General features: G+C 35.5%; 1 protein-coding gene across 10 annotated transcripts in view; it reads right to left on the reverse strand.

Moving 5' to 3' along the window:
• The window catches only part of HMGCLL1 (3-hydroxy-3-methylglutaryl-CoA lyase like 1), a 244,547-nt gene that overhangs the window by 111,743 nt on the left and 107,714 nt on the right, over nucleotides 1-25,090 (reverse strand). Inside the window, exon 2 of one of the 10 annotated variants that reach the window (NM_001287746.2) lies at nucleotides 17,704-17,799. The exons of 8 other annotated variants lie outside the window; for them this stretch is intronic. The gene's annotated coding sequence lies outside the window, so the exon portion shown is untranslated. Of the gene's footprint in view, nucleotides 1-2,060; nucleotides 2,083-17,703; nucleotides 17,800-25,090 lie in introns of those variants that run through there. One more of the 10 variants, XM_047418903.1, reaches the window with a different exon arrangement.

A 25,090-nucleotide genomic window follows, 5' to 3' on the forward strand; every position in this document is an offset into this window, starting at 1 on the left:
TGCTAATAAAACATGCAGATAAGCAAGGGTTCCATAAAAATTGTTCCTCAATACTATTATTAACTCCATTAATATCCAATTATTTTCAACAAAATTTTTATTGATTTTATTGATTTTATTGATCATCCAAGATTCAATTTGTCATCTACTCAAGAGACTTCTGACTTCCGCAGATGGAATTAAGTTATTTCATTTCTGTATTTTCATAACGTTTTGTAGAAGCCTATTTTAAAGCATATCTATGAGTACTTCTTTGCTTGCCTGTTTCTCCTTTTTTATTAAAACCCTCAGAGTTATCAAAATGGATACATAATAAGCACTTGATCAATGTTTGACTAAATGAATGAATAAAATTTGGACAAGTAAAATTGAACTTTCTTTTAGCTAACACATGCTAAGTAGCATTATTATAGTTATTGGGTATAGGAGGTGAATCATTCAACCAAAACTCCTGCCCATAACTAGCTTACATTTTAGTGCTATAGAGATCTGGAAGCAACTGTGAGGCAGGGATGGGGAGGGACACTTTTCTTACATACTGAATATATGAAAATTAACGAATGACTTGTAAGTTACAAGGAATTGTGTTGCATTTTAATGTAGTCTGGAGAAGTTAGAAACATACTTCTTAAACAGGCCAATAGTCTAAAAATTTATTTTTATAGCATTTAATGTCCTACATTACAGAGCTCAGTATATCCTGTTTAATGTGCAGTGTAGTATATGATACTAGCGAAAAAACAAAAGATGTTTTATCCAGAGTGAGTGTTTCAAAAGGCTATGTTTTATGGCTGAGCGTATGCCCACGTTTGGCATCAGATTTCTAATGGTTCACTTTCATAGAGTAACAATAAAAGAAATACTATCTTGAATTTATATGTTACTTTACTTTTCCAAAGAACTTTTCTATCTGCGTTTCATCTGTGAAGCTACTCTGTGAGGTAGGCAGACCTGAAAGAGATTAAATGACTTCCTAAGTTTACCCAGCTAAGCTCCCTGGCTCTTATTCTAGTTTTCTTTAGGTTAAGATTAAATACATCACCAACTATTGAGTTATGGTTGAAGAAAATAATAATGAATCATTCTTTTATACAGAACATAAGTAATGTGCTTCACTCACATTTTTCAATCTTACATAAAATTAAATGGAAGGCATATTTTGATGGGGATTTCTCTGAAATATTTAGAGTGTGTGTGGGTGTATGCCAGCGTGTGTATGCTTGTGTGTAGCACACACATTTCTCAGCAGTAATAATGGATGACTTCTATATATACAATCAACCCTTCTAATGGTAATAGATATGATTGCTTATTAGTCACCCTACAAGTACTGCTTTTTTTTCCCCTAGGAAAATAACATCATCTATAGTAGAAATTTCCAGACATATTTGCTTATGTTTCATGCACTTCATTTCTTGAGAAGTATTTTTTTGTGTAAATAAGGTCTTTATGAATATTGAAATATTCTGTTTCATAGCCAGTATTCCCAAGAACTGCTATGATGTTCCAATCAAATGTTCCTATTACACAGATCAGAGGGCTGAATCAGGAAATTGTGTGACTTTCTTTCAAAATTAAATTAGGCTTTTTAAGGGGGCATTAGAGATCAGCTTTTCCAAGAAAATCTATTTTTGTTGTCTCATTTGAAATATGCACATGGTGCATTTTGTGGTAATGTTAAACTCTCCACATTCTGCTATTTATTGCTTTTTAGATATTAATTTCTGTTTTAATCAAATATAATGAGAAATACAAACTATTATCATTTATATAGCAGATATCCATAGAAACCTTGATCATCCAGAGCAATCAAAAGACATTTCTCTTCCTGGGTATCTCTCTAGAATGGAAAGGTGACTCAACAAAGCTGATAGTGAAACTGTTCTTTCAGAATACCTATGTGCCAACGTTGATTCACAGGCAATCTTTGGCAGTTTAATAAAAATTTATTTGTAACCATGCAAAAATAAGTTTGTAATGTACTATTATGTCATCTAAGACTCAATAAACAATATGTCTTAACTTACTACATCAAAAAGTAAAGGAAGGTATCTGCTTACTTTTTAGCAGTTTTTGAACAGCCAGAAGAGAAGTGGAGAATTGTGCTACACTTTGTTTTCAACAGCCTTCAGTAAAAGCTTTAGGAGAGATTAAAAACAAGCTCTAGAAATGATAAAAGCCCTCTCTGTATATGTATCCTAATATTAACTCTTGGAACTCAATGGAAAATCAGTACAGAGTATCAGTGTGGACATACAGCATAAATAAATACAAGTTTCTCCTGGAAATATATACATTATATACATTTCATGAACACTTGAATCAATCAAGAGTAGTTACAAAAAAGCAAAAGAAAATTATACAAGGGGCATTTGCCACATATGACAGATTGAAATGTAGTAGAAAGATGGACAAGGTAAGATCATCTAAAATTGTTTATTCAAATTTTTAAAATGAGGTTTTTAGCATCTTTACCATATGTGTTCACTTACTACTTAAATAAATTCCATTTTTTTAAAAGTAGCTTCAGCAATAAATGCAGCCAGGTGTTTAATATTCATCAATTAATTATTGTTTTAATATAAAACTACATTATGAATAAAACAAACTATGAAAGAGGAAATAGAAAATATGAGATTAAAATAGATAATAGTAAGTAGATTAGAGAATATTAAGTAATAGAGAAAATGAAGAATATTAAGTTTATAAAACATGGATAGTAACAAAATAATAGAAAAAACAAAAATGAGACAAAGTACATGTAAGAAGAAAAAAATCAAAGAAATCAAGAATAGGAATTTTTAATGCAAGAATTTAATAAAGCATTAAAATAATTCAAAACAGAAAAACTTCTATGAATTGATAGAGCACAAGATGCTGTAAACATGATAATGCTTCTTTAAATGGTGGCTGTTATTTACATTATTTATTTTAATAAATAAAATTATTTATTCTTGTATTCATGGCAATTTAACATTGAAACAAAATAAACTATGAAAAATAGCCAACATGACCTATAGGTGTTTCATTACAATTACAATCATTATTGCTATATTGAAGGTTAAGATAGTAATAAAAGTGTTACTTTGAAAATCAAAAGGAAATGTTTGACTTCAAATATTTTATATAGAAAATTTCTTCTCCTTAGTGTCTTCACCAACAAAATTTGTTTGATCTCACACTCTCCCACCTTGCTGTCAGTCCCAAAATTTATTTTGAAAACTACGAAAATTGTTTTTGCCCCCTGCAAATACAGAAGTGTGTGTGTGTGTGTGTGTGTGTGTGTGTGTGTCTGTGTGTATTTGGTAAAGCTTAATTTTCTGGGATAAAATTGTGATATGCCAAGTTTCCTCATGGAAATATTTTCTGGGATGATACATTTCTGAAAACTACGGTTTATAATAGAAAATGAAACTATTCATATTAAGCCAGTTATACCAGCAGCATGTCCTGATAGCCACAAAGTTGAAGGAAACTATTAAAATGCATAAATTGTCAGAGTTTTCAAGTTCAAACTCCTAAGATGGCATAGCAGTGTGTTAGCTGAGGACACTTGGTTTAATATTTAGCTAAGAAGACATAATTCATCATTCTAAATAGTTATTTTAATTGAGGCTGTTATTATTTATAAAAAGCAATCAAATTTCATTACTTTTTTTTTGTTATGCCATATTGATTATATAACAATGTCAAATTGGGAAATCACATCAGTGATGTGCTATGAGTTTTCAGCTTTATAATACACTCTATTAAGCACAGTAAGACTACTCAGTCATCCACACAGTCATCAACCCAAATCCATTCAAACTTCAAATAAAAATTTTCAGATATTAATGAAACTTCCATCAAAATACAGCTTTATGTAATGTTTCTTTTCTGATTGGCAAAAATAAAAATGAGCATTTGCGTGACTACAGACACACAACAAAAATTCTCAGAAAACAACAATCTATGGTCCCTTATACTTCTTGATATGTGAACAGTGTTTTATATTTGTTGGAGATGAATTATTGAGTGCTAAAGGTGGCAGAAGGGGTTGAGAAAAATGTTACCATATCCTAGTGAAGTTAGGTGAAATCTATACCTTTGGAAATTTTTATTTCTGATTAATAGACTACAGCGGATGTTGTGAGATGTTGCTCAGGTACTCCTAGGGTGGAGAAATTCTCAGAAACTAAAGTTTTGGCAGCTGATGGCATTTCACTGGGCCCCTTTTCTGTAATCACCCTCAGCTACAGCGCCACTTTATCCAAGGTCATGCCCCCATCCTAACTGGAAAGGCCATATCAGCTCCTGGGATTCCTGTGTGACTCACTGAAGCCTCTGTTGTGAGTACATCATAGTTCAACTTATTCTTCTACCTAGTTTTATATCCTTTACTTCCCCACAGTTATTGAATCCAATGGCAATAACGTCCCGCAAACAAATCCTTGTCCAGGAGACTGTTCCCAGGGAACCAGACCTAAGAAAATTAGTGCCAGGAGTGAACTGAGGAAGTGGTCTCCAAAATGGGATTTGGGAGCTAGATGAGTTGCTGGTTAATTTTCAGTTATTTCATATTCTTCGAAGTAGGTGGGATATTGCTACTCCCTGGCAACCTGCAGCAGTGTAATTATTAACATATTCACTCGTTCTCATTCAGGACAATTTTGCACCCCAAGGGACACCCGGCAATGTCTGGAGAAATTTTGGTTGTCAAAATTGCTGGGCACTACTGGCATCTAGTAGGGTAAAAATCTTACAATGCACAAGACAGGACTCCACAACAAAGAAGACATCCAAAATCCATAGTGTTAAGGTTAAGCCATCCTGACCTATACAATAAAAATTAATGAAGGCTATAGCTCATCAATTAGCTTTGGTTAGCTGCTTCAATGTAAAAGTCATGATCCCTTGCCTAGTCTATACATCTTAGCCAATTTTCAGACCAAAAAAAAAAAAATAAACCACAAGTGACTGAAGCAGCAGCCAGATGTTTATGATGAGGACCTTGTAATACTAAGAGAACTATATAAAGTAATTCATATAATCTTTCCCCAAAGAGATCTATAGGCATTCATTTGAGTAAATTTACACTGGGTAAAGAAGAATACCAAAAATTTCAGATTCTTGGATACAAGGTTCAATTTGACAATGACACTTGGAGACCCAAAGTATCATTATATCCCCATTGTTAAAATGAGAAATAGGAGGACCGCATAATAAGTGGAGTCCTGGGTCCTTATTCCCTGTGGTTATTTCTCAGTCCCTGAGTATATAATTGGAAATAACATATTTAGTATTAGGAACAGGCCTTACTGCATCTTAGTTCCTTGACTTGTAATGTAAGAGCTATTGTAACAAGGAAGGGCAAGTAGAAGCTTCTGAAATCTCTCCCTCCTCTCCTTCAGCTGAAATAGTAAAAAAAGAAAAAGAAGAGGAAGGGAAAGGAGGGGGAGGAGAAGAAGAAAGCATATTAGGTGAGCCAGCAGAGATTATTACCATCCTCAAGAATCTAAAGAAAGTAAAAGATACAGGGGTGATGGCCTCATCAGCAACCCCCTCTAATCACCAGTACAGCCTCTACCCAAACCAGAAAGATGTTATGATTTTGGAGGATGACACTAAGCTACCATAAATAAACCCCAATTGTAGCTTCTGTCCCAGTTGCAGTATTTTTGCAAAAGCAAATTAACACTGCCTTATTTAAATGGTATGCAGCCTCCAATGGATGAAAGCTTTCTTTTCTGTACCTGAAAGAAAAAACAGCATTAAAATTCCAATTTGCTTGGGACAGACAACAGCAGATTTTATAGAATTCTCTCAGTGCTATATTCATTCACCTATTGTCTGTCATAATATATTTCAAAGGGACCTGAAATAGCTGGACATTCTGCAGAACATCACATTGATCCACTGTATCAAGACTAACCAAAGTTCTAACTATATGAAAGGAAACTCAATTAAAATGAATTAATAAATTATAAAAGTAATTTAAGGGGCATTTTAAAAAAATGCAGGGATCCAAAAACAAACAAACACACACAAAAAAGATAAATGATTGCTGAATACTCATTACAGAATCTAAAGTCTCAAATAGACAACCCCGTAGTGATCTATCTCTGTAGGGCATATACATGTAGCATAGAGATTTAAAATCCTAAACATGAATGCTACCAGTCCTCCATTTCAAACTCGGGACAGACAATAGTAATTCAATATGGCAGTTTTTCACAATGAGTACAGGTGCATCTTCTAGGCATTCTCAATAGAGCTACCTACTCCAGTATCTGCTATCCAGGTAGAAACTATTATCTAAATTCAGGTATCTACTATCAATGATTGACTCTATTCTGCAATAAAAAATATATTTTCCATCCCTAGTATAGTGAAAAATTCTATTACCACTCTGTACCTCATTTACTCATCTATAAAAAATGGAGGTTACAATAGCTAAAAAGAGTTGTGGTAAAGCCACATATAGTGCTGTATGTATATATGTGATGACCATTATACAAATAATAGGTACAGAAAATTATTTTTTGTTTATTTATTCATCCACTTACTACTGAGTGGACATTTAATGTGTGTAGGACCCTGTGCTAGAATTTGGTCAAAGAAAGCCTATTTGGATACAGAGACTAATTTTGAAGGAGATACCCTAGTTAAAATATTCCTAAAATAAAGCATTAGTTTATTTAGCAGCTGTGTTTCCAATAGCTCTACTGAAGGAAATCTTACAAAAGTTTTAAAAATGATGGTATATGCCGGGCGTGGTGGCTCACACCTGTAATCCCAGCAATTTGGGAGGCCAAGGCGGCTGGATCACCTGAGGTCAAGAGTTCAAGACCAGCCTGGCTAACATGGTGCAACCCCGTTTCTACTAAAAATACAAAAAATTAGCTGGTCACTGTGGCACGTGCCTGTAATCCCAGCTACTCAGGAGGCTTAGGCAGGAGAATCACTTGAATCCGGGAGGAGAAGATTGCAGTGAGCCGAGATCGTGCCATTGCACTCCAGCCTGGGCAACAAGAGCAAAACTCCATCTCTCTCTCTCTCTCTCTCTATATATATATATATACATACACACACACACACACACACACACATACACACACATATATGTATATATATACATGTATTTACATATATACGTGTGTGTGTGTGTGTGTGTGTATGTATGTATGTATGTAACTAGCAGGGCATGGTGGTGCATGCCTGTAATCCCAGCTACTCGGGAGGTTGAGGCAGGAGAATTGCTTGAACCCAGGAGGCGGAGGTTGTGGTGAATCGAAATCAGGCCACCAAACTCCAGCCTGGGTGACAGAAGGAGACTCCGTCTCCAAAGAAAAAAAAATGATGGTATAGTAGGGCATCCAGACTGGTGATGAAAAACTCTAGAGACAAACAATCTAGCTCTATCATGTACTGATGAGAAAACATGAGAAAATAATGTAGTCTTCCTCATTCTCCTCTGTTAAAAGTGGGAATAATAATAGCATTTAGCCCATAAGTCTGTTTTAAGGATTAAATGAGAATGTGTATATAAAGCATTAGCACATTGATGAGTTAATACTTCATCAATGTTTGTTGCTTCCCTTTTTGTAAGGCTAACTTGAAGACATGGGACATTTTTTTCTGATATTTTGCAAAAATGGTAACTTAAATTATTCCATTTATCATTTTAAAATATAACTACTTGTTTAAAATTTGCAATGAAAGGAATCATTGTTGATAGTAGAGCAGATTACCTTACACAGCTCTTGCCACAATCAAAATAATACCTGGAAATTATTCAAGTTCTTTCAGCAAGGAGCTCAAAACACTTTGGAGACATTATCCCATTTTGGAACCTGCCAACATTTTTATCCACCTCCAGTGCTGACAACATCAACTCCACCCATCCTGTTCCACTTGGCAATGTCAACCTCAGTTTGAACCTTTGAGAGGCAACAGAGGGGCACTCACTTCAACATGAGGATAAATGAGAGCTCGTATTCAAAACCTGGCTCAATAATGCCATAAGTGAATACAGGGGGCACAGCTAGTTACTTGTTAGAAATGTTTTCATGGAAAAAAATACTAATGTAAAAAGCAAATTAAATACATTAATAATTCTGATTGGCATCATATGCTTAGAGGCAAGAGTATCAAAAAAGTCCTATCTTCTTCACAAGCTAGGCTTTAATTTCTTCTTTCACCCCAGGGAGTTTCTTTGTAACTTCAAAACATAGTTTTGGGGTGTAAAAAGATCTAAAATTTTTTAAATTGTGGATCCACTTGCAGAATATGGAGCTGGCAGATGAATAGTTAGACATTCACATCACAGGATAAGGTTTGAATTGACCTACACCCTCAAGCAAAAGAGACTTCACGATTCCTTTAAGCAACCCAGTTATTCATTTAGCCATCATTCTTGGGGTACATTAGTGATTCTAATTGCCACTATAGTTAATTCAATGAAAAAAACTTGACATCAAAATGTATCAGAATTTTCAGAAACCATAATATTTGGGACATTCAAATTATAAGGGCAATGAAATATGCTGAGAACAATCCAAGCAGTAGAGGGGGACTTAGGCATTTAGAGGAAGCTATGCCAATACACAGGACCCCTTTAGGCACCATGGCCAGGGAAGGGGTCCTCCTTGCCCAGGTCTAAGGCGTTTGTTCTAAAACTGATACTTAATCCATTCCTCTACATTCTGTTCTCCCACAGACTTCCTGTTCTTTGGAAATACACATGAACTCATCTTTGATTCCTCTCTTCTTCTCATACCCTATATCAGATCTATCAGCAGATCATGTTCTATCTTTAAAATAATTATTTCTTACTTGGATAACTGCAAGAACATTATAAGCAATCTCTCTACTTCCACTCTTGCCACCTCCTCTGCAAGGCAGAAAGCAGCCTTCCTAATACTTTGAAAACATCAACTAAATCACATCACTTCTCTGTTCAATATCCTCTATAACTTTCCATTTCCCTCAGAGAAAAATCCAAAGTCTTTGCCATGGCCCTGGAGGCCCCATGAACTTACATCTTACCACCTTTATGATGCCTTCTCCCACTCATCCTTTGCCTCTGTTGAAGCCACACTGAATTATTTGCCATTTCTTGAACACCTGAGCATTTGCATTTGCCCCTGTTGGACTGTTCTTCCCCTATATATATCTGTGGCTCACTTCCTCACTGCCTACAGGGGCTCTACTCCTTAAAAATACTCCATAAAATATCAAAAAGTCAACAACAACAACAACAACGATCCCACAACAAAAAGGAAACTCCACTCTCTACTCCCCTTACTCTTTATTATGCTTCTAGCACTCATCATCAGCATGTTATATATGCATCTATTTGTTTGTCTATTTCCTGTATCTTCTCTTCAACTAAGAGCCCTTTGAGGGCGCTTCATTTTGTTGGGTTCACTGCTGTGTCCCAATCTTTAGAACCGATCCTGTTGTATAGCACACACTCAGTAAACACTTATGGAATAAATAAATGGGTACAATTCATCCAATCAGATTTCAAAGAAGCGATGAACTTTTTGTCAGCCACTTAATAAAGGATGTTCATATTCATATTATGGCTTTGAAAACTAACAAGAATTCACTATACATGGTGTGTCTTGACACTCTGGGGAAGACAAATAGAATCATTATTTGCATATTAGTTATTCAAGGGAAGCCTTCACAAACACTTGGAATGGGAGCTGCATTTGGTGAGGAAATTTCGACAAAAGGAAGATTGAATGCCTGGATCACTGCTCTTTTAAACAGTAGGTCCCATGGTCTAACGGAATACACATGTTTCTGTTGTGGGGGTTCTTTTGGGCAGGATGAGGTAGAGTTGAACATTTCCATTGGTATTACTGGCCATAATAAAGATTTTTGACCCTGAAGGCCAGTATGCAGGATCTTTGCGGGGGTTCCCTAAACTGGAAGGAGAAAAGTTGCAATAATTGTTAGCAGCATCAACTTACCTGTGACTATTGATAAGCTATTAAAAAGCTCATCAAATCATTACTTTATTTGATGAGGCCTGGCAGACAGCAGTGAACAGGACACACAAAAGTCCCTGTCTTCACAAACTTACAGACAATAGCAAAAAACAATAATAATTAAAATATATAGTATAAGTGTTATAAAAACAAAGAAATCAAGTAAAGAGGAGAGGAACTAAGGGAATAAGAAATAGGTTGCCATTTTATGTAAGAATTGTGTTTTGAGCAAAGAATAAAATGAAATAAGTGGTGGGGATGACTGCAAAGCTATACAGACATCCTGAGGAACAGCCTTCTATTCAAGGGGACAGCCAGCACAATGTTCTGTGAGTTGATCAAGGGAAATGTGCCCAGGGTGTTAACTGTTCTAGCAAGAACCAGAAGACCAGTGTTAGATGGAGAAGAGTGAGCAAGGAGTAAGGAAATAGCAAATTGGTATTGGAAGTGTAAAGAGGGCCTGGGTAAAGATTTTTGTTCCCAGGCAGATGGAAAGCCACTAGAGAGTGGGCTCGGGAGCAGGGGGATGATATGATCTGAGGTACATTGGACTATGCTCACTCGGGATTTTATAGAGAATAGACTGAAAAATGCCAGGGCAAAAACAAGGAGACTAAAAATTAGGAGTTCATAGAAATAATCTAGACGAGAGATGACAGCTGATTAGATTAGGATCTTTTGGGTACGAGGGCCAAGTGGAGACGCTGAGAGTACATTAACTTTTCACCCTGACAAAATAAGTCTCCTGACTCCCAGGCTGGGCAGGGCAGATGCGTACCTTACATCTTGATTTCTCCTGGAAGTTTGATGTAAAATGCATAGAAAGTCAGAATACTTACGAGAGGGAAACAGTCCCAAATGTAATAAAAAGTAAAGTAAATTGTTAAATGTATTCAAAACCTGCTTCTCAGTTAAACACTTTCCTCCCTTCCCCCAGAATACTGCTAAATATTTTCCTAGAAGCTTTCTCACACTTTATAAAGTTAGATTCAATCACCCTAATGATAGCAATATTTTGCTCTCTCCATTTTACTTCCAAGAACCCCCAAACTGAGAATTCATCTACAGACACTAATTTATACTACATAGTCTTACACGAAGATTTATTCGTATATTTTTCCAGCCACTAAGCTTTAAAGTATATGGTTGTCTTTAATCTGATCCTGCTTAAGGGGATGAGCCTTTAAGCCAGACACTAACTTATTTTGCTTTCCTGCCTGTAGCATCTAACATCAGGCTGGTGCGCCAAAATAACTGCACTTCTGGTTGCCTGGCAGCGCGTCTGTGCTCCTGGGCAGTGCTTGCCATCAGCAACCCCAGCTCTGCTCTCAGCCATATCTAGTTTGCTTCTCACTCACTGACCCCTCACTTGGCTTCGCTTTCTAACACACTGACCTTTCCCAGCCCCGATTCTAATTAAAACTTGTATTTTGTTTCTTTAGGGCTCTGTACCCAGCTGATGAGGTTACTACCGGCTTTATTATACTTTCCTTTCCAGGTGACCTATTTCATTTTAGAGACACCATATTTTGAACCCCAGAGGTGTCTCTAATGTTGGGAATGTGAGCAGGCTGGTGAGGGGTGGTCTGGGGCCACTGAATTTCTAATCCTTCTTAAATCACATCATGTGTGTATTTGCTCATTCCATGTAAACCTAAATCTAGCCCTGCTTAAATGTTTTCCGTATACAAGGGGGAAAGGGGTTAGCAATAAATTACGTTGCCCGTATAGAGTACAGCTGGTGCCCGTACTGTACTTAAAAGTGCTTCATGTACTTGCAGGCTGTGCCTAATTTGTTCCACAACCTTCTATCCTCAAGCTGAACAAGTGAGAAACAGGATACTTAAATAAAAGTTTAGGTTTAGGTCTGTCAAAAATACTGGTGCCTTACTCAGGTTTGGTTGAAAACTAGCTACAGAACCCTGTCATGCTTCAGGCTCCATTTAAATGGAGAAAGGGAATTAGGAAAGGTCCGCAAAATGATTAAAGCACATCTTATAGGTAGGACAAGCAAGGCTAAAACATACTGGAAATGCATAACCAGAAGGATAGAAAACTAACATGCAAATTTATAACTTAAATGTGCAAAGGGTTACCCTACTAAGGTTAATTTTTCTGTCAAACTTTATTTAACATAGGATTAAGTTTAAACTATAGGTTGAGGATGAAAGCTTCTTAAAATGAGGGCCATTAAATACTTGTGGGTTATCGTTAGATGAATGCACTATCACTTTTTAAAAGTAAGGTGGTTATACATCTCTGTTTGTTTGAGGTGGTCCTGGTTTATACCTGTTTTCAGAGGGTAATTAATCCTATCCCCATATTCTCTCATATGGTCCTTGTTAGGACCATAAATTACTTGATTGTCCCACTTAAATTTACTATATAAATTTACTCTGAAAGAATACAGACTTAATGATTTTACACTTCCATTCCAGCTCTATCAGAATCCATAGCTTTCACCGTGACAGAACAAGATCACTGTCTCTGGCTCTGCTTCTAGATCTCATAGTCCTTCCATGTGAATATGATGACCAATAACAATCACAAATAAGCAGAGCCACTGCTCCAAGAATCACTTAGTCCCATACATGGGCCATCCTGGAGACTGAGCTTTTTCCACTTTCTTTTCCAGAGGGTAAGCTCTGGGCAAACATGTGAAAAAGGAACTTTGCTTTCAACCATGCTACCCCAAGAGCTGCTCCTTGGCTCTTTAAAACAATTTTCCTTCTATCCCTTAATGATTCCACCATGACCAGAAGTATCCAAACTGCTACTCCTTCCAAATCTCAATATAATTTATCTAACCTTGTTCATAATCTGCCAGGACTATGATTTTGGTTATCTAAATCTGATTTCCACCCCAAGGTAGCCATTTTGGGAAAGTAGGCATTTCCATACCTTTCATTTAGCTATGGATCCAACCCTAAGACACATTTTAGCAGACACATTTTGACTTCTCAGAGGCACTTAATGAAACCATCACCCTAAGGGAACGCCAGTCTAAAGAGACAGATAAGCAGCAAGGCTGGACAGGAGGAGAGTTATTGAAATTAAATTAAATGAGACTTTTTGTTCCCGCCAAAAAAAGTCCACGAAAACGTTTTGCTCCCCTAAGTTTTAGTGTAGAGCAAATACTACAAATATAGTCCTTTATTTAATTTGCCCAAATTTGTTTGTTTCTAAATGTGCCCAATTTGCTTAACATTTCCTTATAATCAAGAAAAAGAGGAGCCTTCCTAGAGATTTGACCAGAAGGTTAAGTCTATCTGGCAGAGACTACTATGAACATAAATAGGTAAAACTCTGCTGCCATCCCCACATCTGAGTGTGACCATTGAAGTTATTTCTGGACAATGGAGTGAAGCAAAGTCATGTTACTTTCTGAGTGAAGTGGTAGGAAGTGGATGTTTCCTCCTATGGTCTCTTTTCCCAGCAAAATGGAAATGACCTAGAGGAGAGCAGGGGCACAAGAAGGAGCGTGGGTCCTGGAATGACCAGATCATTCACACTGGACTTGAGCAAAAATTCACCTGCAATTATTATAAGCCACAAAGAATATGGGGTTGTGTGTTACAGAGTTTAGACATACTGCCTAATTAAATCTAATTCTTCGATGTGCAGAGATTGAATCTTATGCTTGCAAAATCTCCATACATTTAAATTAAATGACCTCTCAGGGATGATTATGAAGGACTGGGGCTAGAGAAGAACACTGGCTTCCATAATGCTGCCTTACCTTTCTCTGTAATTTCTCACTTTTCCAGATGCTGAAATGTCTAGCATCAAGAAGAAAAGCATATATTCAGAGTTAAACTTCATTTTGTTTTTAAAATAAACATGAACCTTTAAGGAAAAAATAAACTACTTCTTATATCATCTAAGCATAGAGCTTTGTTAATATATACATTCATTCCTGTATTCACTAATTCATTCGTTCATTCACAATTGAGAGTGGAAAGTGTCATTGGGCAAGATAAATGAGCCAGAAGACAGGATTGTTCACAAGAAGAGTAAAACAAAATTTTTGTTCAAAGTAACTTAAATCAACACTGCTGCAGTATAAGTAAGTTATCAAACTTCTAAAGCAAAATCACTCACTTGATCAAAGCCTTGGATTTCCATTTCCAAAGGCCAGCGTTTTCTTAGGACTTTAAAGTAGGGCCAATATAACTAGAGCAAAACTATAAAGGTGTAATAGCAGGATGTCTTTGCAACTCTAGGAAATGACGCCTAGTGGCTCTGAATAACTAAACATCATCACTGTCCTTTACTATTCCAGAAAAATGCTTCCCAGTATGTTCTGCATTATATGAATCTCATGTTCTGTTTCATGTGATACCTATAAGCTGTTCTGTCCAAATTCCAATTTCAGTTTTTTATAAGTTCAGCTGTGATCTGTAGTTCATTCTGTTAAGTCTTTTCCATAATCCCTCTGTTCCATATTATATATACACCTTCAGTGCTTCCTTCCCTCCCTCACATCCTAACACCTTCATTTAATCGCCTCTTAATCATTTGCCTGAAAAGTAAACCTTCCAATCACTTATTGTTTCCTTCCAGATGCTGCTGTTGAATGACTCCCCATGGGCTTCACCTAACATTCCATCCATGTTCATTTGGCTGTGCAGACTGTGATTCCAGCACACCAAAGCTTTTAAGCTCTTTCTTTCCAAGAAAACTCATAGCTAACACCATTATTTCCTCACAAAAAACAGCTAACATCTGCAGACTGAAACACCAAAACAAAGAAAAAAATTTGCACACTTCTGCTAAACTTGGATGCAACCTTTATCAGCCATCTTAAACAATAAATCAATGTTTTTCTTTTCAATCTCTAGTAAAAAATAAACCACAGTGGTTGATTTCAATTTCCCCTCAAAGGAATAGTTAACAAACAGGTTATAAGTGAACTAAGCCTCTATTTGGAAAACTAATCTCTAACACAATTCATCGGGTTGTTCAATTATGTTTAATATTATTCTGTATATTAACAGTTCATTTCAGCAGCATTATTTAGTCAATTCACTAAAATATCCCAACATACTATATATTATAAACAAATAGTATGTAATGTTTATCAAAATTATTTCTTCCCAGAAGATTCTCATATTAATAACAACTTGGAATATATCTAAACTACATTATCTTACAAAAATCATCTTTAAAACATTGATCCTTTTTGTCCTACAATCTCAGGAAATTTAGATTCCTTATCTAAAAGAAGGAAATAAGGGCCCTACAAGTAAAACTGAGAAAAGAAACCCAATCTGCTAATTCCCAGCTGTTTGCTATATAGATCATAAGGCCCTTCAGCCATGGACTTTTAGATCAGTGGTTCTCAAACTTTAATGTGCATATGAATCCCCTGTAGAACCTGTTAAAGCCATTTCCTGGGATCCCTCTCCAGAGATTATAATTCATTAGGTTAGACTGGGTCCATGAATTTGCATTTCTAACCAGCTCACAGATGATGGTGATGCCGCTGATCCAAGGAGCAGTATTTGAAAACCATAGCTCTCACTTAAAAGCCAACTTAAAAAAAGTATATGATTATGTCTAAATAACAGTTTATCATCAGCTGTAAAATTGATTTGAACAACTCTTCTATCAGTATAATGCAGCACATATAAAAATTTAGATTCCAATTTTTATATTACTATCCATTCTAATTCCATAGTTTGAAGAGCATTTTCTAATTTCTTCTTTCATTTTATTTCATTTCATTTCATACCACTCTTTCATTTTTGAGTGAAAATGATTTATCTTTCTTCACTTGGACCATTCCAGGTAGGTCTTCTCAGCATACGATAAACTAAATGATGGAAGAAATTATAAACTATAACACAAATGTTCTCAAACAAGTCTATAAAATTTCCTTACAAAATTCATAAGTCATTTTAAATTTCTATTAAATAATAAACCACAGTGGTTGATTTCAACTTCCCCTCAAAGGAATAGTTAACAAACAGGTTATAAGTGAACTAAGCCTCTAATGTAGTTTATATATTTTCTTCTTTTAGATGAGGAACCCAAATTTCCTGAGATTGTAGGATGAAAAGGATCAAAGTTTTAAAGATGATTTTTGTAAGATAATGTAGTTTAGATATATTCCAAGTTTTTATTAATAAGAGAATCTTCTGGGAAGTAATAATTTTGATAAACATTACATACTATTTGTTTAGAATATACAGTGTGTTGGGATAATTTAGTTGATTGACTAAATTTAAATTTTTCTATCCTTCTTTAAGTTTCCAGTTGTATTTTAGAAGTACCAATATCAGGAACATCTACATGTATTACAGGGTACTGAAAGAAACACACACACAGAGACATTATTTTTAACGCTGAGTACTTCGAAAAAAATGAGAGATGATTGTTTGGTAAAGGCCTCAACATCTGTTGCCACCACCAGTTGCCCTGCCCTGGAACGGTCTCCTTTCAGTTCTTGTGGAGAGAAAACATCAACAGCTGACTTACATGGATTTTGTCCAGTAATAGTAAGACTATGTTTTACTGTCCAAAGCTACTTAAGAAGAAATTTAGAAACTTAAAATGGTCACTGGAAAACTTACTTGAGGTACTGTTTTACAGTCACAAGGACACTCAAAGACAAGAGTAGAACAGGCTAAGCGATCAACTACAAGGCTGATGAAACAGTGCAGGATAGTGGAGAGTCTACCTTATCAATGCTTTCTCATACATACCCAATTTTCAGTGGTTTCTTTCAGTTCTCATTATACCAATCTCATACACAAATGTCCTCAATTGCTGCAGTTCCTAATTTCTCTTTGGCCAACTCATTACTTCCCCTTAAGAGCTCTAACTCCAAGAAAAAAAAATGCTTTGATATACTACCATTTACCCAACAATAGTAAATATGTCCATATATAAATATATATATTCATATACATAAACCTACATACATAAAGACACATTCATATACTGACAAATATATTTGGATATGGATAGTGTCAATTTCAGTGGCTATGTGTATATGCACACACGGTGATATATAAAAACATATTTACAAGAACAAGTCTATAAGCAATAAGTGTTTGCTCTTATGAAAATTATAACAACTAAATTTTATAAACACTCGGAAAGTATTCAAATGTTTAGTTGATAACTAAGAAATTATAAATTAGTGATCTAAGAAGTATTGGCATGTGCTTGGGTGGCAAGGGGTGGGAGGAATTAAAGCCAAAATGTAAAAAATAAAACATACACCCTATAGACCAAATATAATTATGTTCTGCTGCAATGGCAGTCCAGATAGAAAAACTGTGTAAGATATGCCCAGTTTTTTTGGTTTTCAATTCCTATTATTTCTACTGTATATGGAAATTCTATGTTTTATTGATTATGCATAAATTTAATTTTTCACACTTATTTTTCACTCCTGGGAATTAGTGAAATATCATTATTTTATAGTATAATTCAGCCTATTTTAAATATTTTAAACTTTGTGAAAGTGTTCCCAGCATTCACTTTCTTCTGTCCCTGCTGATTAATAGTAAATGTTTCCAAGCACACTATGAATCTGAAGACAGAAGAAAGTTTTCACATGTGGTTTGAATAATCAAAGAACCTGATACCAAAGTTTACATATGGCTGCATCAAAACTAGCTAAATAAGAGTTCATACAAAATTAATGACAAGGATCATATTTTATTCTCCTTTCAAACAGTTTGAGAAGTTGTTAGGCTTCTCCTATTCTCACCTTTAGTAAAAGAGGGAGAGGTGCCCTCAAATATGATGGGGATCAGGGCTTCCTGAGAGGTCCATGGTGCAGCATCAGCATCACAGACTGAAGCTCCTTTGGAGAGGAGGAATGAGGAGCTGTTGAAACAGGGCATTGAAAACTTCTGGCTACCTCAACATTCAGCACGTGCAGTTTTTTGAAATGCTAAGCAGAAATGGAAAGGCAGCAAAGCCTCATGAAAGTGCATTCAGTGATAGCATAAATTCAAGTTCAAGTGTTCAGTCACAGTGTGACTGGCTCTGGGCTCCTGAGACTCCTCATTTCCTAAATGAAAATATACTGAAGCTCTTATCTTATGGGTGGGGTTGTGGGTATGAGGACAACTGCCTTGTCATTATTTTTTTCATACATTATCTTCTTTATTCTCTGATCAATCATGTATAATTTGTTGCAGTATCTTTACTTTTATGTTTCTTGTGAAAACGATGGAAAATTATTGTTTTATATGTCTCAACTCATATCTTAGTAACCAAGATTTTCATTAACCTCAAAATAGCACCTCAGCATCTTTTAGGTGACTGAGGTTTTCTTTTTCCTTTTTTTATTATACTTTAAGTTTTAGGGTACATGTGCACAATGTGCAGGTTTGTTACATATGTATACATGTGCCATGTTGGTGTTCTTATTACATTTATTGCATTATACTTTACACACTATGGCTTCAGATGGTCTCTTATAAACAAGATTAAATATTCAGTGGTTTGAAGCAAAGTAAATATATTTCCCAACAGAAGTTATCCAAGAATTTTCATTATGTATGTGAATTTTACATTACACAATATTTGGTATAAATGCAGTAATACATTTTACACAAATTTGATCTTTTTGATGACTTTGAGTCAATGGTACATGCTTTGATTTTGAGCTACTTTCTAAAGAACTAAGAAAGGATGCATGTATCAGAAATAGCCTATAAAGCTTACAAGAGTTTTGGTGGTGTGGCATGTACAGAACAAAAGGAGAAGGTCATGAAAGTTTTCAAAAAAAAAAAAACCACTATGGAATAACTTTACAGAGTCTGAATAACATGTCTCTGAGAGAAAAGTGATTCATTCAGGTTTTTCCACCTCAGCCTGTGAATGTTGGGTCTCAACATGAATTAATGATAGAAGTTGAGCTACTTCATCCTAAGGATTTGTAGCAAACTACAATTTGTTTCCTTAAAGTGATAGCTTAATCTAGAACTTAATTAATATATTAAAAGAAAAAAGTTATCTTCCAATGAGTACTAGATAAATAATTGTATTATTATAACCTAAGTTCCTACTAGTCAATAGACTGACATTATGCAGTGAAAAACATTCACGCTTTGGTACCTAGTGTAAGTTAAAGTCCAGTACCTCTACCAGGTGAGTGGCCTAGAGTGGGTTTTATTAACTCTCTGAGCCTCCATTTCCTTATATTGAAAGTGAGAATAACAGGATCTTCTTTGCAAAACTCTAAGAGTTCAAAAATTATGTAAAGCCTTCAGCAAAGTCACTGAAATTATTTTGCTACTTGGTAAAGAGGAGTTAGTATTATTCTAATCATATAATTTTCCAGATTCCTATTAATAATACTCTATTAATGGTTAATGTAGTATTTTGTATATTGTGTATTATTTCATTTGTCCCATGTGATGTAAGTTGCAAATTGACAGCAAGTATGTTAAAATAATACTACTGCCCTTATATAACACTTTTTAATTAAGACAAATGATTGACATTTTATTTAATAAATTATCACTATATCTTTCCCATCAAAAGGTCAACATCTGTACAAATTCTTCAAAGAGCAAGTAGATTTAAGGGATCCAGCTCTCTAGAGATGAGTATTTATGCAAGCTTTATGTTCCATCTTTTTTAGCTCAAGTTTTCCTTTCAATATTTTCTAGAACATACATTTAGCAGAATTAAATTAAATATTAAAATACGGTCATAAGGGAATGGGGGCTAAGTGATAGTAGACATTCATGAGTGAAACCCTGAGTAACTATATCTGTTTCTCCAAGGTCTTGAAATTGTCTTTTAGACACAGTCCTAAAACCTAGGCAAGCAGAGTTCTAAATTACTCTCAGCTTTAACATTTGACCAGGTCCACAGTTTTCTATAAAATGCAAGGTTTGAACTGTCTCATATCATTTTAAAAATTAAGGAGTTATCAGCCCTTACATCAAAATTCTCAAAAATGGAAATTGTGTCTAACAAAAATAAGATTCATATTTTGACTTCAACATTAACCTATGATCAGTTTCTATTTCACAGTGAAATAAATATGAAATTGAGTAGAGAATTTAAAAAGTGAATGCCAGACTCTGTACACCCAGTGGGTTACAGATGTATGAAAGTGGTGGCAGAGAGCCACTCCACTTCCTTCAAGATCCAAAAACATTTGGAAGGAAAACTCAGAAGGAAAAATGTCTGACAGACATGTTCTCTTTGGGGCTTCCTGCCTCATTGTTTGCCAAGCTTCCTAGACCCTATTGCTTCTTAATAAAGTTCACCAAAAAGACTTTATGAAATGCAGATTTCATAGAATAAAACTTGTGTTAAAGGCGTTTTTATGTAGTTGAAGTTTTCTGCCATCTGTATTTCTCTACTTCACAAAATCAAGGAAGCGTGACTTGGAAAGTTATAAGTGTAAGGTGACATTTGAGGCACTTACTATTGGTGGAAAAAAGAGCCCGAACACTGAATCCTAAACCGGAGACCATAGCTTAGACATTGCAACAGAGAAGCTGCTTAACCCTGAGGGGATCATTACATCCTTCAATGTTTCTACTCCTTCTCCTGTAAAATAGAGTCATGTGAACATGCATATTGTGCACTGTGTGAATTAACTTAATAGAAACACAGATATGGAAAAGAAATGAAAAGTTGGAATCTAATTTCTCTGATCTTTACAACAGTAGCCAAGAAAAGGAACAAATAGGCTTTCAAATTTTCTAAAAACACCACCAGGATTTAAAAGTAGGCATTATAGTCTAACATGAAAAAGAATAAATAAGAACTAAAGCTACTAATTTTACTACTCAAAGATATATTTGATGTAATTAAATACATATTTTGCCAATCAGAAAGGCAGTTAATTTGGCTAAAATCACCTAAAGTTTAATACCAGAAATGTTGGTTATATTTACTTCTATAAACATTTAATGAAGACCTAAGTGTTTATGTCCTTGGGATAACAGAAAACTAAATAAAATATAGCCACATCCCTTAAAAAGACCTCAACATACCAGTGCTAATATTATACATTTAATAAAGAGATATTTCATTCTATTCAACCATATTGTAAAAGGGAACATGAAGAAAACAAGGATGGGTATCCCAAGTACTTCAAAAGTATTGAGGTTGGCCATTGGGAGAGGTGAAGGATACAAAAGAAATAGTCTTAATACTTGTAAAAAGTGAGTGAACCTCCAAACTCATCAAATTTGAAAAAAAATGTATAAAACAATTTATAAGATTATGGGGTCTTAAAATTATTTTTGTAAAGTGATAGATTAGATAGATGGATGAATATAGATAATAGTTATAGTTTTATAGGTATACACACACACACACAACTAAATGAATAACTCCCATGATTTTGCTCTGTCAATTCCACCAAAATCATCAATCATCTTACTCTGAACAGGAATGCCTTCTCTCTATCCAAATCCCACCTGACCCTCACATCCACCTTCACCACAAAGATTACTATTGTTATCACTAATTGAATTAAGCTGAATTAAAACAAGTTTATAGGCTTGTGTTTTTAAATGAATTGCAAGAAAAAATTGCAGGGAAAAGAAATTAACATGATCTAAATAAACAGCAGAATGGAGAACTGAACTTTCAAAGGAACACAGCAATGAAGAATGAAAATGTGGTCTGGGTCATGCCCTTGAGATAGAAGCTCTAGGCGTTCTGTTTCTCATAACACTTTGTCCCTCCTCTTCCACAGTGATACTTACAGCCCTGCTAGCGTCGGAGTGCCAGAACCCAGCTCTTCTGCTCTCTCAACCAGGAAAGTAAACCTCAGTTCCTTGTATTAAAAATGTGTTTGGAACTCACAGCTCCGGTCCCTTCATTATTGTTTAGAAACCACAGCTTTTGTTTATTTACTTATTTAATTTTCAGAGGTTTTCTATCCTTGTTATTACTTGGCAGTCATATAAACTATATGGGGGGAGAAACATTTTAAAAATAAAAACCTCCATGAATCTAAATAATTCTAAAAATGACCTTCACATAAAATTATTTTATGGTCTGGTTTTGGAATGAATGTTTTGGGAACAACATTTACTAATTGGTATTATTTTCTATAAGAAAAAATGTAAAAATTGGCTTATAAATATGGCTATATCTGAGAGAAGAAATTAAAAACACCTGAGTTTTCATTTAGGACTAAATTCTGATCACTTAGAAAAAGGGAGATTGTCCAAAAGGGAAGATGGCAACCTTCTGGCAATTTAAAGATAATTTCCTGCTTGTTGAATGATAATGAATGATTAGGCTCCACCCTGCAGAAAAATAATCCAGTGTTCAGAAATGGTCTCATTTAAATATCCCTATGTAATTGTTCATGTGAAAGATCATAAAACCAAACATCTATAATCACAGGAAGATAATCTTGATTCCTGAGGAAGCTAAATATATTAATTAATAGTGCAAATTCTGTTTAAAGGCATTCAAGTTTACTTATATTTTAACTGCAGTTTCAACTAAACAAAATATTTCAGGGGTTATATTGGGCTCACCTAGGCTGATAATTTGCAACTACTACGTAGACTAACAATACATAGTCAGAACAGTGGTGGGAAACTGGGATTCTAAACTTTGTTTTCATTATTAGGGCTTTAAGCAGGCTGGACAATCCCTTTCAAATCTGAATTTCTATAAAAATGATAGCCTCCAAATACACAATTTTGCTTTATATCTTTTAAAAACCATGGGTCATATGAGAGTAACCCACTAAGTTATGGGTGTGCACGGTCTAGCCCCTTGGTTGATTAGGGGAAGTAAAATGAAACACACACACACACACACACAAACAGCTAAACTTGGAAGGGGATAGACACAGAAAGAAGAAAGGGTCAGGGAAAGTTACAGCACAGAGTGAATAAGCATAAAGAAAGCCAGAAGACTTGGAGGAGCTCAGAGCTAATGAAAAAAACAAGAACACAGAGTAGGGGGAGGGAAAGATGTGAAAGCCAGCTGGAATCTGAGAAAGCAAGAAATACAGGAGCCAACAGAAATCCAAGGACAGAAAGTATTGAAGATTGAAGGGAACAGGAAATTTATTGGAAACCAAGTTGTTTTTCCTTTTGTATCCAATGCAATTCTATTCCAGGCAGAACTCTAGTCTCAACCTCAAAAAGGATAGAAGGGAAGTCAAAAATCATAGCAGTCTTTTTTTCATGGGCAGGAGCCAGGAGCTCTGGAAAGACAGATTAGAGGAAACATGACCCTTTGACAGCAGATACAGGGGTAGAGGAGTAGCAGCACCATCCAACACAGTGTTTACTAAAATTGGGTTAAGTAGAAATAAAGATAATTGGGCTCCAACTCAGAGCTACTGAATCAAAATTTCCTCTATATTTAATAAACAATTTAGGTGACTCTTATCACAAGAAAAGTTTAGGAAGCACTGGTATCATGGCAAAAATTGCAGGCTTTAGAACTAGAACTGCTTGAGTTAAAATTCTAGCTTACTAGCTGTTGATCATAGGCACATTTTTTTAACCTTTCTGAACCACAGTTACCAAATCTGTAAAATGGATTATTGTAAGGATTAAATGAGCTACTGGATGTAAACAGGGAGTGCCGGGTTCATATTGAGCGTTCAGTAGTGGTAGCTGTATAGCTACAAAAGTCCTTATAATAAGCAACTCATACTAAATAATATATGTGACTTGATTAAAAATAAAAAATAAGGAGGGTATAACATGGCTATATCTCTTATGAAACACCAAGGAACACACTTGCTAATGGCACAGAGACAAAGCCGCACTCCCCTGGGATGCTGGCCTTGTTCTCAGCATGCACTAGTCAGCCATTTCCCTTCAGGAATCAAAATGTGAACAGCCTTAAGCTTTCCTTCAAAAGTGCATGTAAGTCAAGTCAAATCAAAGGTGGCTTTAAAAGCTAGATTCTTCATGCTACAGAGATAAGGACTCTCTTAAAATGCAATAAACCCAGGACTTGGCTGAGGCTGAGATACCCAAAAAGACTCACAGCCACCTCAAGACTACTGAGATTTACTCACTTGATAAGCCACCTTATTTTACAGTCCAGCTTTCTTTAGTCATTTCCCAATATATTATTCCCAAGAATCATCTACTCCTTCTGTAGAACCCTACGTAGTTATCTGACTTTCCTGTTATAGTAAGATTCAAGTCTTCTTTATTTTTCCAGCTATAAACTCAGCTTCACACCTAAAACATTCTAACACATTCTCAGCCTCTTTACTGAACAGTCCTATTATCTACTGGCCTTAGATGAGGTCTCAATTACCCTTGAGAAGAAGGCACCTCTCCTGTAACCCTCTCAAGGAGAGCCTGCTTAGTCTCCTATTCTTTGCTTAGAGACTAGAATTAAGGATGGCATCTTTAATTTCCATTACTTCTTGAAGACTCCCACTTCTTTTTACTAATTTAAAAGTCCCTGCTTTTGGAATCTATGTGATTTGGCCATATAGTCTCTATCCCTGTTTGATGATTGGTATCCTTCATATATCAAGGCCATTAGAACTTATTTCACCATCATTCCCTTCATCCCAAATCCTGACACCATTCAGCAGTTTATTCAATGTCCTGGTGGACCTTCCATCCAATATTTGGTTTTCAGTGAAATTCACTGGACTTTTACTCCATTCTGACCATAATCTATAGGGTCATAAAAGGGGCTTATTATTTTTTGTGGCAGCTCACTTATTAAGTCTGTGACCACAAATACTATATTAGTCCATGTTCACGCTGCTGATAAAGGCATACCTGAGACTAGCTAAATTATAAATAAAAAGAACTTTAATGGATTCACAGTTCCACATGGCTAGGGAGGCCTCACAATCATGGTGGAAGGTGAAAGGCTCATCTTACATGGCGGCAGGCGAGAGAGAATGAGAGCCAAGCGAAAGGGGAAACCCCTTATAAAGCCATCAGATCTCATGAGACTTATTCACTACCACAAGAACAGTATGCGGGGAACACCCCTATGATTCAATTATCTCCCACCAGGTCCCTCCCACAACGTGTGGAAATTATGGGAGCTACAATTCAAGTGAGATTTGGGTTGGGGACACAGCCAAACCATGTCAAATACCTATCCTTTTAAGTTTCTAACTTTATTGTGTTCATGATTAAATCTTTAACCTCAAGTAA

Source organism: Homo sapiens, chromosome 6, assembly GCF_000001405.40.
Source record: "Homo sapiens chromosome 6, GRCh38.p14 Primary Assembly".
Taxonomy (NCBI): domain Eukaryota; kingdom Metazoa; phylum Chordata; class Mammalia; order Primates; family Hominidae; genus Homo; species Homo sapiens.